This window comes from Homo sapiens, chromosome 13 (assembly GCF_000001405.40).
Source record: "Homo sapiens chromosome 13, GRCh38.p14 Primary Assembly".
NCBI classification, from domain to species: Eukaryota; Metazoa; Chordata; class Mammalia; order Primates; family Hominidae; genus Homo; species Homo sapiens.
The window spans coordinates 107,617,752-107,633,218 of NC_000013.11; the positions used below are offsets into that span (position 1 = coordinate 107,617,752).

Here is a 15,467-nt window from a genome sequence, read left to right on the forward strand (position 1 = left end):
TGACAATTTTTCCATTTTTTTCTCCTCCATGTTTCTTTTCAGCATTTCTACAGGCACACAAGTTATCAGTATTTCCATGCTGACCCAATCGACCATAATTCACCACTCTGAATGACACAGATATTTGTGATCACTTCCCCTTGAAATTTTGCTTTATCTCATTCTTGGAATTGCTTTATAACTAAACTGACAAATGCATTTTGTTCATTTGTTTATTTCTTCAACATATATTTATTGAGATAGTCCACAATGAATAAAATAAGCATGCTCCCTGCTCTCATGTAGCTAATAATTAGAAAAAGAACACAAATGCATTTAAAGCTATTGACAGATCAGGCTAAGTGCTGTGGAGCATATAAACAGGGCACCGAGAGAGAAAATAAAATAAGGTCGAAAGTAAGACTGGCTGGAAAAAACTCTGTTGGAAGAAAAGAGATTTCAGCTGAGATAGAAACCAGAAGAAACAAGCTATTCACAGTGTGGGCAAAACACTCCTAGAGAAAGTAAAGGAAATTGCAAACAGGAACTGTTCAAGGCAGGAAAGAAATTGTTATAAACTGGACCTGGTGGAAGGTCACTGTGGCTGCAGTGTTGTGAGCAAAGGGAGGAGGTTGAAGAGGGAGATGGGGCTAGAATATTGTGTGCATTTGGGTTTTGTTTTATGATAAGTGTAAAGGCAAGACCCTTGAGTTTTCAATAGAAGACTTATCCTAATTTTTACCTTAAAAAGATGATTTGGCCATTGTGCAGAAAATGAATTAGAGTCAAAAAGACTGAAAGACAGGAGACCACTTTGAAAGCTTTTGCAGCTCTCAGGTTAGAGAGATGGCAGTGGCCGGACCGGGATGCTAGCCAGGAGCGAAGACGATGGGTAGCTGAATTTGAGATGCAATTTGGAGGATTTGCTGGAAGACTTCATGTGTGTGTCAGGGATAGGATGGAGAAGACTGTGAAGGAAATGAAGGAGTAAAGCACTCTGACTGACCACTTGTTAGGTGGCAGTGTCATTTAGGGATACGAGGGATATTGGGGATAGACTGAGGGTCAGGGAAAGTATTGATGCTTAGTCTGCAGGGGTGGAAAGGAAACCAGACTCACAGTTTGGAGATGGGCTAAGATATAGGAACAATAGCAAAAGCTAAACAACATATTGCTTTATATTCTTATGTCTGCCCAAACCTCTATATTCCTAGTATTGCTACCTTAGGGGATCCTCACTATCCAATATCAGGAACAGTGCGGTTACACAGAACTTACTGTGATGATGGAAATATTCCCATTTGTGCTGTTCACTAAGGCAGCCACTAGCCACGTGTGGCTACCAAGCACTTGCACTGATTACTGTGATGGAGGAATTGAACTTTTTACTTTCATTTATTTAAATGGCAATAGCCGTGGTGTCTGGTGAACACCTTACCAGGGAGGTACATGTCTAGAATATCACCAATGGATTCTATTCCAGAGACATGAGGACGTTATGTTTATGCGCTCAGGTCGGTTAAGATGTGATGATTCCTCTTTTCCGCACCCTGTTAGAGTGAAAGCACTCAGGCAGTGAGACAGTCAAGATGTGTACAGAGAGGATGGAAGAGCACTGACCTGGGTTTGTGAGAATCAGCCTTTTGATAAATCAAGAACTTTTATTGATTTGGAGAGAGATCCCATCATGAAGTATCTCATTGCCTTGCAGCATAGCCACAGCCCCATGGAACCCTGGTAATCGGTGGGCATTTTGGAAGGAACACAGCTTGATGTCAGAAAACTCAGGGATGCCTGATAATGTAAAACGAATTTTAACACGTTGCATTTTTCTTTATTAGATTATGGTAAAATGTGCAATCTGTTGCAAACCTCAAATTTGTAAAGACTGTAAAAAGCATCAATCATCTAACAAACTTAATTTTTAGAGCAGAATCACAGACTATTCAAACTGGAGGTACTTAGAAATCATCAAGCCTATGACTTGAAAGAAGTTGAGTGACTCCCTCAAGTTGCACAACTAGCTAATAGCAGAACTACGACAAGAATGTAGGTCTCCTTATTCTTGGTGTGTACAATTTAGACCCTCAGGTAACCATGTCATATGATACGATTTAGCCAAACAACACAAACTGAATCTTTTCATTTTTCCAGAAAAGGCCAATATAAAAATTTTAGAAACTTGAATGTGTGGGCATCCTGTCATTCTGTCAAATTTCCCTTATGAATAGATTAGGAGTGGAAAGAAACAGGTGTCCTCTTTTTTGTGTGTTCATTATTATGTAATCTGTCACATATTAATTGAACACTATTTCTGGTGTTTTCCAATTGGCTTTTATCAGGCCTTTTAAACTGAATAATCCCTAATTGTGATGTTTGAAACCTGTTTCAAAAAAATTCTCCTCTAGGAGAAGAAAAAATAATGCCAATGCTTAGCCAGGAAGCTTCTCATTGAAGTCTAAATGTCCACATCAGAACCACAATTTGATGGTGAGCCAGAGAAGAGATTTCAAAAGAATGGTAATGATTTGGACAAAGGGGAAATACCCCTGGTACTTAAAGCCATCAACATCTGAGCCACAAAGAGACCCATCAAACACTAATAGAGATAATCTATGCAGAGAATAACGTGCTATCATTGGAGTGATACAGGAAAATCTTTAATTGTGTGTGCCATTTGAAAATTCTAAGAGGAACAGAAAAGGCTTTGCAATTCTATAATTAGATGTTCACAAATCTGATTCCTAATCAGCTAGACTTTCTCACCTTTATCCACCATGGGATGTGTTCCCTATGCCTGGATTCCCTGGTATTGGCAGGAGGTTTCTGATACTGTTGCACCAAAATGACTTGGTCCCAGCAGTGAGCACTCTGGCATCTGTGTTCTCTATTCCACTACTCTTTGGCCAGTTAGGATAGAAATTGTAACCACTGTGCATGTTTAGTATACAAAAACACTCAACCTACACGTGACAGATATATATGGGCCTAAATATTAAGCGTGTTTCCACCTCCGCCACACTTGTCTTTGGTATTCCATTCCCACTGGACTATGTGACAGAGAAGTCTGGAATTGTCTGTGCAGTGAGGGAATGAGGGAGGTGTCCGCCCATTCTAACTCAAGGCTTCTCCTTATCCCAGTTGATCACTATCCGTGGCTCTTTCTAACTTTGACAAAATGTGTTTGGTTTATTTGAAGAGAAATGTTAAACCTTGGTACTAGAAGTAATCATTTCTACTGCTGTGTGTGAGTGTGTGCGTGTGTGTGTGTGTGTGTGTTAACTTCAGTAGGCAAGGATGCCTGCTACCCAAATCTTCATATTGTTCATGGTACCTGGCTTATTAGGAAGTCAAGTGCAGCATGCGACTGACAAGTAGTTCCGGATGAACTTGCAGTTAGTAGTTACATTCTGACTGTTTAAACTCTCCCAGCAACTCCATCACATTCTTCCCATCCTAAATTACAGTGTTAACACTGCAGTCCATTATTAACTAGTTAGCACATTTCAAGGACAGTAAGAATATTTCACTATTATCTTTTTAAGTTAATTTTTTCTAGTATTAATATTACTTCAGAATGAAATAATTGTAAATACATGTGTGCACATGCCTTTTATTAATGACAATGTTAAGTTTTCTAATATCTATCAAGAAGCTGTGAACTGTGAGAAGATGGCAAAAAAATTCTGTTTGATGAACTCTTTAGCTAGGTTGGATGGACATAAAATTATAAAGAACTATTAAGTCATCAGAAGAACAGTCCTAGCAACTAGAGAACCATGTTTCATAAGTCTGCTATCCCAACTTAACATGCTACTGCTAAGAAGTTCCAGCTTTCAAATGATTGCGTGATTTTTTCCTCTACTATAGGTGTTATTACTTTCTACATCTAGGTATTCTCGTTCCTTAGGGACAATGCACATTTCTCCCAGTCATGCCTGATTGTAATGTCTGGCTCTCTGCCCTGTCACTCTACCTAAATACCAAACACAATAATCCATGAGAAAAATTGAGGCGCTCTGCTCCACTGACACCATGAGGAAGACCTAGAGGAGGCTGTGGCCTTCTGATCACAGCTGAGGCCGGAATTCAATCCCTGGGTGTCTGATGCAAGCTTAAGTCTAGATAACTGAGTCGGGCAGGGCTCTATCTCCCTCTTTGCTCCAAGGTTGGTTCCACCACGGATAACTGGGAATGAGATCCTTCTCTAAACAGAGAAATTTCTGTGATTCATGGAATGACATCTGGAATATGCCCACAAAGCAGTTTTTTTTTTCTTTGAAACTGAGTCTCACTCTGTCAAGCAAGCTGGAGTACAGTGACGCTATCTCGGCTCACTGCAACCTCTGCCCCCCAGTTTCAAGCAATTCTCCTGTCTCAGCCTCCAAAGCACAAAACAGTTTTTCTAAGAATCATGGCTGGGTACGGTGGCTCATGCCTGTAATCCCAGCACTTTGGGAGGCCAAGGCGGGCAGATCATCTAAGGTCAGGAGTTCAAGACCAGCCTGAACAACATGGAGAAACCCCGTCTCTACTAAAAAAACACAAAATTAGAAAATTAGCCAGGCATAGTGGCGCATGTCTGTAATCCCAGCTACTCAAGAGGCTGAGGCAGGAGGAGAATCGCTTGAACCTGGGAGGCAGAGGTTGCAGTGAGCCGAGATCGCACCGTTGCACCCCAGCCTGGGCAACAACAGCAAAACTGTCTCAAAAAAACAAACAAACAAACAACAACAACAACAAAAAAAAAAAAACAGAGAGAAAAGAAAAGAAAAAAAGAAGCATTACTCTGTTCCATTGATAATCTGTCTCTGCTAAATTTTGCCTGCTTAACAGAGAGGTAAGCTACTGAAAAGAGAAAAATATACTGTACAGTACCACAATGTTGATTTCACCCCAGGGGCTTGCAAATCATTCTGCTCAGATGGGAAATTTAATAATTCGTCAATGAACACACTGCTCTTAACCAATGAAAACCATTCCATTTCAGATCCAGCTCAGATTAATTTATTTTTTATTTATTTATGTATTTATTTATTTCGCTTTCTGTAGACAATGAACCCTTTAAGGAACAGTTCTCAGGAACTATTATGGTAACTAGGCATAGCAGTAGAAATAAGGTATTTGATCCCATCTACGGAGTTTTCTATCAAAGTGAGAAAAATACATTTATATGAAACCATGTCAATCTGGGACAGACATTTACAGCACCATATAAAATTGTGGAGCTATTAAACAAACCTGCTTTAACCAACAATATCTACAGTACTCTAGTATGTCAAGAACTTGTGTGAGAGGTTACCACTGTTTCCCACGACATGCTCTTAAGAATGTCATGAGTTCTCATCCAAACTTTATTATAATGGTGTCAGTCACCTAGATCTATAACTCCCTCATAATTTTGCATGGTAAACATAAATAAAAAGACACATACACATAGTCAACTCTATATTACCTGTTAAAAATTTTCAAGTTCTTATTAATATAATTTTGTTGGGATGTTTAGAAATCTTCTACTGTTTTAATGTCTCCTACCATGACTTCTCTGTATAGCCTGAATTCTGAGTAAAGAAACAAGCAAACACCAATTTTCCTGACATGAATTTTCTTCATGGAAATATTGTTTTTCTTGCAAGATTAGGTTATTTAAGGTGACAGTTACATGCCTAGAAAAAACAAATCATTTCCAGGCTTGGAAACAGAGTAAAGAAATTAGAAAAAAAAAAAAATATTACTCCCCCTGAGCCATCTTTAAAGTTCCTCCTGAAAATGTTTAGGATGCCTAAGACTTTTAAGGTCAGAAATATCCCAAAGTCTTATATGAAATATAAGTAAATGTGCCACAGGCACTATTGTTTCATTCTGTTGTATGCATAGTTGAAGGGCATTGCCCAAATCATATGTAGAAACGCAAAGATTTGGCTTGTTTGCTGTGAACTAAGGGAAGTGAGGTGGGATTGGCCTTCTGTGCTCCCTCAACATCTCTCAAGAAACCTAAAATGGTCAGTTCATGTATAATAATTAACTAAGCAAATGAAATGGGCACAAATAGAAAACAATAATGAGGAAAGCCTTCATGAACTAGATAATACTTCGTCAGGGGCTCAAGAAAGGAAAGAGCTTTGGCCCAAAAGATAAGGAATTATTTTCTAGATGGAGAGAAAATGACATGCAAAAGCATTTTGCAGCAAGACAGTGGATGAAAGTGTATATGGAGATGTGTATAATATGTCAAAACATAACCTGACTGAAGCATCGGTGTATTCCAGTTGTCTGATGAAATAATAATCTCATCAGCCCCTATTTGCACAGTACTTTAACATTGGTAAAAATGTTCTGGAATATTATGGCACTAGCTTCCTGATGGAGAATAACTATGATAGAGGAAAAATCATCCTCATTTTACAAACAAGACAACTGAGGTTCAGAAATGTTAATGAATTATCCAAAGCTACCTACACACAAGAAAATGGTAGAGGGAGTATTCGCCGTTCTTCTGACTTTGTAGCTAATGTTCTTCTACTAAGCCACTGTGTGGTTTACATAAAGGTTAAGTACATGTTACATGTGGATAGTGGGGAGCAAGGATGGGAAAAACATAAGAAACAAATGAAAGAGCTCTTAAAATTCAATTTATTTTTAATAATGCTTCCCTTCCATGGTATATTAAAGTTCTCATAAAAATTCTTAAGAAATCAGAAACTCCTTAATCTGTAGTTCTGGAAAAAACCACAGGATGTCATCCTGTATAATACTTTTTAGGCAAATTATTGTGAGTTTTGAGATGGAGAATACAGATTTTTAAAGGACAGCATAAAGCTTCACTTCTTAAAGTAAAACGTATCATTTTAATAGCAGCAGAGCACTTTAATATATAGATGTTTATAGAAGGATGCTTGGGTTCTTTCAAATTTTTGCTGTGAAACTTTTGAATAGTAAATTATAAACACAAACATAACTAAAATGTAGTTTGATTTATCCATAGCAACGGCCTTTGCCATGTAGCTACCAGTACTACTCAATTCCTCACTGCATTAAGCTCTTCCACTGCTTTCTCAGCAAGGAATAATGGTTGCTTATCTTCCTAATAAAGGAGGGGGGTGCAGAAAGAGATATGAGATTATGAAAAAGATGCTCATGCTCAAAATCTTGGAGGAAAACACTAGGTTGTATTTTTCCAGAGGAAAAAGTAAATCACTCAAATGTTCTAACCCGTAGACATTTCCAAATCTCTATTCTTATGCACAGTTTTATTCTCCATAACCCAAGGCTTTTTCAGCACACATTCATCTAACTCTATGAATATGATTCCAACTGTCTACTGTGGCCCCTAATTGGGCTGAGGAATTGGCATCCCTTATGGGCAGATGCAGAACTCACACACGGAGTACCACTTTTTCTTGCCTTTAAAGATTACATTTCCACTAGCACCTGATAATTTGATCTTAGCCTATCTCTACTTGCAGCTTTAGGTAGACACAGCACTAGATTCATCTCCACCCTCAGGCAATGTACTTGAGAAACAATGAAATGTGGTTCAATGTTTTTGATAAAAGGGGCTAAACGAAAAGCACCTTAATGATTAAGAAAGATGTTGACTTTCTTGCGTTTAGCAGAAAACAGCACAAAGAGATAAGCTACCTACTACAAATTATTAGCTGTGTCTTAAGTGATAAACTATTTAATGTAGATGTTATTATTAAGGTGTTATTTAGCACAGCATGTCAAAAAGTATCTTAGGGACATTGCAAAACTGATTTCCCATCTTTCATGTCTATATATGTTAGTGCTGCATTTTATGTGAGGCACCAACAGTCTAAACAAAATGTTTCTAGATCACAATTTATGAATTACATGCTTGAAAAATAAGTTATAAGGTCTTATTTGCTCCAATATCCATTTGATCCTAATGTTCATTTCTTCTTCACCATTCCCTCATATAGCCATTCATCTATCTTCCAGGCCAGCAGAATTTTATAGTTTCCCCAAAAGGATAATATTTCTAAAATAAATAAGCTTCCTAGACTGGAGCTACACTACACCAACAAAACCTGTTGAAAAATGAAAATTCATTTCTACCTGACACTAAATAACTGTTTTGACTGATTATTTTCTCTGAACTGACAGGTTGTTCGGGCAATGTAGACACAAGCTTAGTCAATTTAGCACACGAATGATACATGAGGGGTTCCATATTCAAAGCAGAAAAACTGTACAGTTATTCACTGAATACTGAGGGCATTTGCTGGGCTCAATAATGCTTATTTTAAAAGAAGTATTCATGATGTAGATTATGAAGGTCGTTTCTTTTTAACTTGTTAATCTTATGAACAACATAAGATTGGAAAATATTGGCAATGGTTAATAGATTTCATTAATAACTGATGAGGTGACATCTATGTCAAAGACTTCAAAAACTATACTGAGTTACCACCTTCATAAGTCTATCATAATCACGTACACTCTATAAAAGTTATATGCAAAACTGTTCCTTGCATTATTATTTATAACTGAAAAAGTAGAAACAAGCAGAAAGATCTACAATGAGATACTGGCTAAGGGAAACCCTCATACACAGTTGGTAGAAATACAAATTAGTACAGCCACTATACAGAACAGTATGAAAGTTCCTCAAAAAACTAGCAATAGAACTACCATATGATCCAGCAATTCCACTACTGGGTATATACCCAAAAGAAGAAAGGAAATCAATAGATAAAAGAGATACCTGCACTCCTGTGTTTTTTGGAGCACTATTCACAATAGCCAAAATATGGAATCAATCTAAGTGGCCATCAATGGATGAATGGATGATGAGAATGTGTAAATATATAAAATGGAATATTACTTAGCAATTTAAAAAGAATAAAATGTCATCATCTGCAGCAATAGTAACCTCTGTTTCCTTGGATGAAACTGGATATCATTATGTTAAATGAAATAATCCAAGCACAGAAAGACAAATATCACATGTTCCCACTCATGTATGGAAGCTAAAAAAGTGGATCTCATGGAGGTTGAGAGTAGACTGGTGGTTCCCAGAGGATGGGAAGGGGTGGGAGGAGGAGACATGAAGGGCCAAAATGACATAAATGTATTCATTACCACTGAACTATACAGGTAAAGATGGTAAACTATATATGCATACTCTACCACAATAAAAACAAACACCTAAATTAAGGAACATTTTTATATCTCATTCTTCTCTGCCACATACTTCAATGATGAATTTGAAAAGCTGAACTCAATTTCAAAGTGGCACATTGTTCCTCATTCTTCTCTATGACATTATACAAGGAGCAATTCTCCAAGTTGAGTCAATTTCAAAATGGCATAGTACACTAAAAATTGAATCACATCCTGTAGACTAAGGGGATTTTTGTCCCTTGTGGAAATATTTCTAACCCAATTGATTTAGATGTCACTCTGTGTTCCAGTGAACTCAGGAAAGTTTTAATTACATAGAAAATATGTTATGATTTCTCACAGGAAATAATATATGGGAATCAGAGTGTGATTTTGAAAAGAAAAGTATGAAAGAAAATGAGTACCTTGTGAGATTAAGCACTACACCAGCTTGATTCTATCATACTAATTTATCAAACCCTGTGTTATTAAAGAGAACAGATTTCTTGAGGCTTTGTTCTCCTTACGATTATTATTAGAAAAGCCTATAATGGAGTCCATGATTCAATAGGAAGTCATATTCTTCTCAGTGTTATTTACCATGAGCGAGGAGAAGGCTGTCTTAATGGGTGCTAGTGAAACCTTAATGAGGAACCCCTTCTGTACCTGTATTTTCTCTGCATGAAAGCAGCATGGGTGTCAGCAACTGGGGCGTATTCTTTGTTATAAGCCTAGAAGTGCAATTTCCTATAAAACGTATATTTTAAAGCCCGCACATAAGGCTTTAAAAATGTCACTTAAAAGGTTACATGCAACAAAAAGTCAAATGGAGAGAGAACTGCAGTGGTGGGCTCTATTTTCCACCCTGTCATCCCATAGGCTATTATTAGAAATATCAGCAGTCTGCTTTCCAGAGAGAAAGTAAAATTTGACTGCATTCAATATAAATACTTCTGTAGATTTGCTCAATTTGCCTTAATTTGCTCTCACCTCTGAGTCCCTCTGAAACCAAACTCGCTGGACAATAGGAATGCCTTGTAAAGGTTTCTGCCTTGAAACTAAAAAAATAATAATAAATAAAAAATTTAATGACCAGTCAAAGTAATTCTACTTTCATTTACTGGTAAAGTTATGTGGAATTTATAAATCATACGAGAACACAATTATGCACTCATAAATCTGAAAATGGACAGGTGATCACACAGATCAGACATTCTCTGTCTTCAATGACACAGAGTTCTTTCTATCCTGTATGACTGCTCAGTTACCACACGTGCAATGTTTGTTTTTAATGAACCACCACGAAGACCAGATGCCCTTGTAATGGACAGTTGACATCTTCCCAAAGCAAGATGTTTCCCTTAAAAAGACAGTCAAGATGCATGATCTGGTCATTCGGTGTTATAAATTAAATGGCACTTCCGACTGCCTCACTTTGCATCCGTACAATGCATTTTAGCTGATTTAAGGCCAAATACAAAGGCCTTCTAGCATAATGGACACTATATATCCCAGTTCCCACTTTTGCTTTCACTAGGGTACCCCTTTATCTCATTATTTCCTTCAAGGAGAATGCCAAGTGATACGCTAATGGATCTCCTGCTGTTAGAGGCTCAGTTGGAAACTGAGGCCACTGGCAAAATTATTAGTTAGTAGGTTTCCACTCAAGATACTGTACCCATTACTTCTCCTTTCGTGTCACAGATAAGCGTGAGCAATACTTTACTGTTTTTACATTTCATGAAATATGTTTCACGTTAAAGAAACCATTGTCTTAAGCAATGCCGCCAATTCCCAAATCTTACTAAAAACAAAAAATCTAAAACAAACAAACAAAACCCTGGTTAACTTTCACATAGAATGCCAAATGGCATAACTTTTTACAAATTTTATTCATGTTTATACTTCAAAATAATTTATTTTAAAAACCTGGGCAATTTTTAATAATCATGGCATCTAGACATCAGAGTAGTTCTGTGACAAACATATTTAACCAGGAATTAAGAAGTGATGTTAATCTGCTCTTTCTTCGTGAATCTTTTTCTTACCTACCTGCTCCCCCATTAAATTTCATCTCTCTTAGGGAATGCCTTTTTGTATGTTATTATAACTAACAGTGTACTTACAGTCTGTTCTCCAGTACATAAAACTTTACTTAGAAGAAGTTGTATTTCCTACTTTCTTATCCACGTCTTGTACTCTTACAACCACACAGTGTTGTGCCTGGAGCTGAATTAAATTTCATAAGACTAATGTGCACTAAAGAAGAAAAATTTCTGGACATATAATTGAAGGCCAAGTTGACACTATGAAATATGCATATTTATACTAATAGTCAAAACACATCTTCATTTATTTGACAATTAAGTCCAAGATGCTATTTGTAGGAGTAATACTAATATAGCAGTAATCACTAATACATCATTCTGTTCTCACCCACTGTACACATACTTATTCAGGCAGACATGACCAAACAAAATCTTTGAGATCTACTTTTAAATACCTATAAAGAATGTATCATATTGTTCTCTATGGCATGGAATCATATATCTGAAAACTGAGACTGAGATTTTTGGCAATTTTCTAATTCCAACTAAACTATGCTTTTGATGCATTAGGCTTCAAGTCTGATAATTCCTCTTAAGACACAGTTCTGTGTTTTCTGATTGTCTACTGAACATCACTTGTTGGGCAGTGACTTGCTTTTTCGAAAACCGTCTAAAACTCAGTATCTCCCCTCACCCTTCCAGTTGCTCTCTCTTCTCACTTTTTATCTTGTCAGAAAGCAACAAATTTTGGAGTCCTTCTCGATAACTCCTTTTTCTTTACTGTATTTCAGTTGATCACCAACTCTTATAAATGCTACTTTAGATAGATATAGATAGAAATGTTTTACAGTTTTTACACTTCATGAAAGATATTCTCTTAAATATATTACTTGAGATATATATGAATGAACTATTATATGTATGTGTATGTATTCATTTCCATCTTATTTTCTTTCTGTTTTCAATGAAACTCACATTATCACTTTCTGGATTTGTGTTACAGCTTCTGAACTAGTATCTTCGCATTCAAGATCTTCTCACTGTAATCAGTCAAGATACCGTTTCTAAAATATCGATCATTCATCTGTCTATTTGTCTAATCTATCATCTATCTCTCTCTCTTCTATGGCTTGGATAGACTCTCTTCGCCTAGTTAGATCAACCCATTTATGCCAGGTGTTCCATTATTGGAACACTAAGCTTGTGAGAGTTATTGATAGCCTACTGCTCAAGGTCATCGCCAAGGTCTGATTTTTCATAAAAAATTTGCAACCTCTGACATAAATGGGTTAAGTACATTCTCTTACCGTGACACAAGAGTTACTTGAAACTTTGCTATCTGTCCACTCTTACCTCTGTCCAACTCTTTGAATCCACTGCACAATTCCAGGCAGCATTCTTGTTCACTCATTATTCTCTCAAAACACCATGGGGTCTGTGACTTTAGGGCCCTTTCTGAACTATTTTTTCTCCCTGAAATGCTTCAGCATCCCCACCTGACTGGGAAAACGCTCAAATATCACCCCCCGTCCAGCAAATTGCATTACACCAGAGGCATTTCTTATAGTACTCAAAAGTCATCTTTGTACAAATATATAATTTTTAACCATTAGAGCCCCTAAAAGCAGAAATACTGTTTTTACCATCTTTTTACCTGATGTCCCTGCCATATGGTAAGCTCTCAACAGTATCTTTTGAATGAATAATAGGGGAAAATATATTTTTCTTATAATCGTCTAATAGGAGGTTTAGATATTTTGCATATACAGGTATGATCTAAATCTGGCATAAAAAGGCAGCCGTTTGAAGACAAAAAGGAGTTCTGAAATACGGTTTGTAAAATATATATATATATATTTATACTAGGACATAATTCAACACTCTCATCTCTTAGATGATTGAAGATCAGTTGTTAAGCAGAAACGTTGAGGATTTATGCTTACTTGACTGGCAGCTGCGGACAGCTACCTAGGTAACTGAACTCAAATCTTCTAGCCTTTTTAATCTAGGGACCTAAATGTGTAAATATAGTAGTCTTTTGGAAATATTCTCTTATGTTGGAAAAATAGCATTTTTTCTTATTCTTTTGTTGTACTTTCATATATTATTTTATTTATTTAGAGACAGGGTTTCCCTCTTTTGCCCAGGCTGCAGTGCAGTGGCACCATCATGGCTCACTACCTCATGGGCTCAAGCAATCCTCCCACCTCAGCCTCCCAGTAGCTGGGACTACAGGCTCACGCCACCACACCTGGCTAATGTTTTTCATTTTTAATAGAGAAGAGGTCCCACTTTGTTGCCCAGACTTCAAATATTTTTAATGCATAAGTAATAATAAGACCTGCCAAGATTGTGCTTGCTATACTGGAGACCTGGGTTGAAGACCTGCTTGCTATACTGGAGACCTTATGCACATGCCTTCCGACTGTGTAGGGGTGGCTCCCATTATTTTACAAATGAGGACCAGACTCTGAGAATATAAAACTATAATAATGAGTCATATATTTTAAATGGGGAAAATTATCTTTTATGACAGCAGCTAAATGATCACCTTAGTTTTGATTTTTAGTTCGTTGAATTATGAGAAAATTACTTCCAAAATTTGGTAAACATAGCAGAAACAATGCCACTGAGTTTACTAAATATCCAGAATTCAGAGAGTAAGTCCCTCTTGAGAGCTTTTTATTACAGAGGGAAGCATGAACAACCAGGATGCACAGCAGGACTCGCTCCTGAAAATCACTTGGCTGGCCAATTGCATTGACTAGTCATGCACAGGCTTGCCGAGACCTCAAGCAGCAAGACAATTGGTTTTCTTTATGATAAGCCTCTACATATGCTTGCTGAAATCAAATCAAGAGAGAATTCATCTCACTTGATGCAGATTATATATATAGCCAGAAATATTAGAAGTATTTCATGAGTACCTTTTTATTTTTCAAAGCCAACCAGAAAAACATCAGTTAAGCCACATAATTCTCTCTCGTGCCACAGCCTCTCTCTGACTCTGTCTTCTTCAATCTCCCCTTCAAAGACTTAAAAAAGATAAAAACTCCTACAGGTTTCAGAAATTACAATGATGCATGTTTTCATCCTCCACATGTCATAGTCTACAAAGTATAAATTTATATGTTAATAAAAGTAAATTATACCTATTGTATTATCAAAGATGTTTGGTTGACAAAACATCTTTGCATATGCTATTTAATTTAAAATGAGTTTAATGTGCCACATCAGGGTATTATAAGTGTCTGTAATAGGATATCAGCATTTTAAACGCTCTGGTGGCAAATACTATATCTATCTCTGTATCCATCTCCATATCTGTCTATCTGTCTATCCTTCCATCCATCCATACACACATATATTTGACTGATTCATCTCTGCCTTTACGTCCTTGGGTAATTCAACTCCTGTGTGATGCTTCTGGATTCTGGTTTCTGAGGAAGGAAATATAAGAGTATGGGCATGAAGGTCCTGTCCTTGGCTGATATCTGCAGAGAAGCCTTTATAATTTTTTTCCTACTCTCTTCTGTCTTCCCTTCTCTCCCCTTCCTAAGGAACCCACCTCCCTAATAACACTCCCAACCTCTATATTTTCCCCATGTAGGCATTCTCCAGAACTACTGATCCTCTCTTACTTTCTCTTTCATTCTGTCCCACCTTTTAATGGCCTCCGTATCCTGTCTCCAATTATCTCTGTAGACTAATGTCACTTGCTCCTACTCCCTCAACAAACACAACAACAAAAAGTAAAAAATCCAAATTTTAGCTACATTTCATTCATTAGGCTTAAAGACTAAATTTGGTATCACTTATGTTTAACCAGATTATAATGCAAGCACACATAGTTATATATAAGAAAAATCTGAAAGTAAACATTGCATTTTGAAATGAATGAGGGAATAAATGGAATATGATTATTGTATCTTGAGTTCTCTAGAGGAAAAACAAGCCCAGAAAAAGACGGAAATGAAGGCAGAAATTTTTATAACAAGCCTCATGAAAAAAAAAAAAAAGGAATGGCAAGGTGTGTGGATTTCACTTGGTGCAGCTCCCTTAAAAATTAGCATGTGTCTTCAGGGAGGATTAGCATGCAAAGTAAGACATGATGCATTTTTAGAAAGAGAGAATAGTTGGTCTGGTGATCTTAAATTCATGCCCCTCTTTTTTGTGTTTTATTTTTGGAAACAGTCTTTGTTTATAAGAGAAAGAATGTCTGAAGAGCGTATTCAGATGAAATAAACATGCTTTTATATTTTCATATAAAGGAAGAAAATTTTAGGAGTTAGTGACTTTTAAAATAAGTGTTTA

The 15,467-nt window shown here is 36.8% G+C and overlaps 1 protein-coding gene across 1 annotated transcript in view, besides 1 other annotated feature; it reads right to left on the minus strand.

The window, feature by feature from the left end:
- The window catches only part of NALF1 (NALCN channel auxiliary factor 1), a 703,987-nt gene that overhangs the window by 454,242 nt on the left and 234,278 nt on the right, over window positions 1-15,467 (minus strand). The gene's annotated exons all lie outside the window — the stretch shown is intronic.
- Window positions 876-1,045: an enhancer, noted in NCBI's record as "experimental_31763 CRE fragment used in MPRA reporter constructs". NCBI's record gives its function as "activates a minimal promoter by MPRAs in K562 erythroleukemia cells, with activity observed for both the introgressed and non-introgressed 13:108271060 variant alleles {active_cell/tissue: K562}" and the evidence as "EXISTENCE:reporter gene assay evidence [ECO:0000049][PMID:34662402]".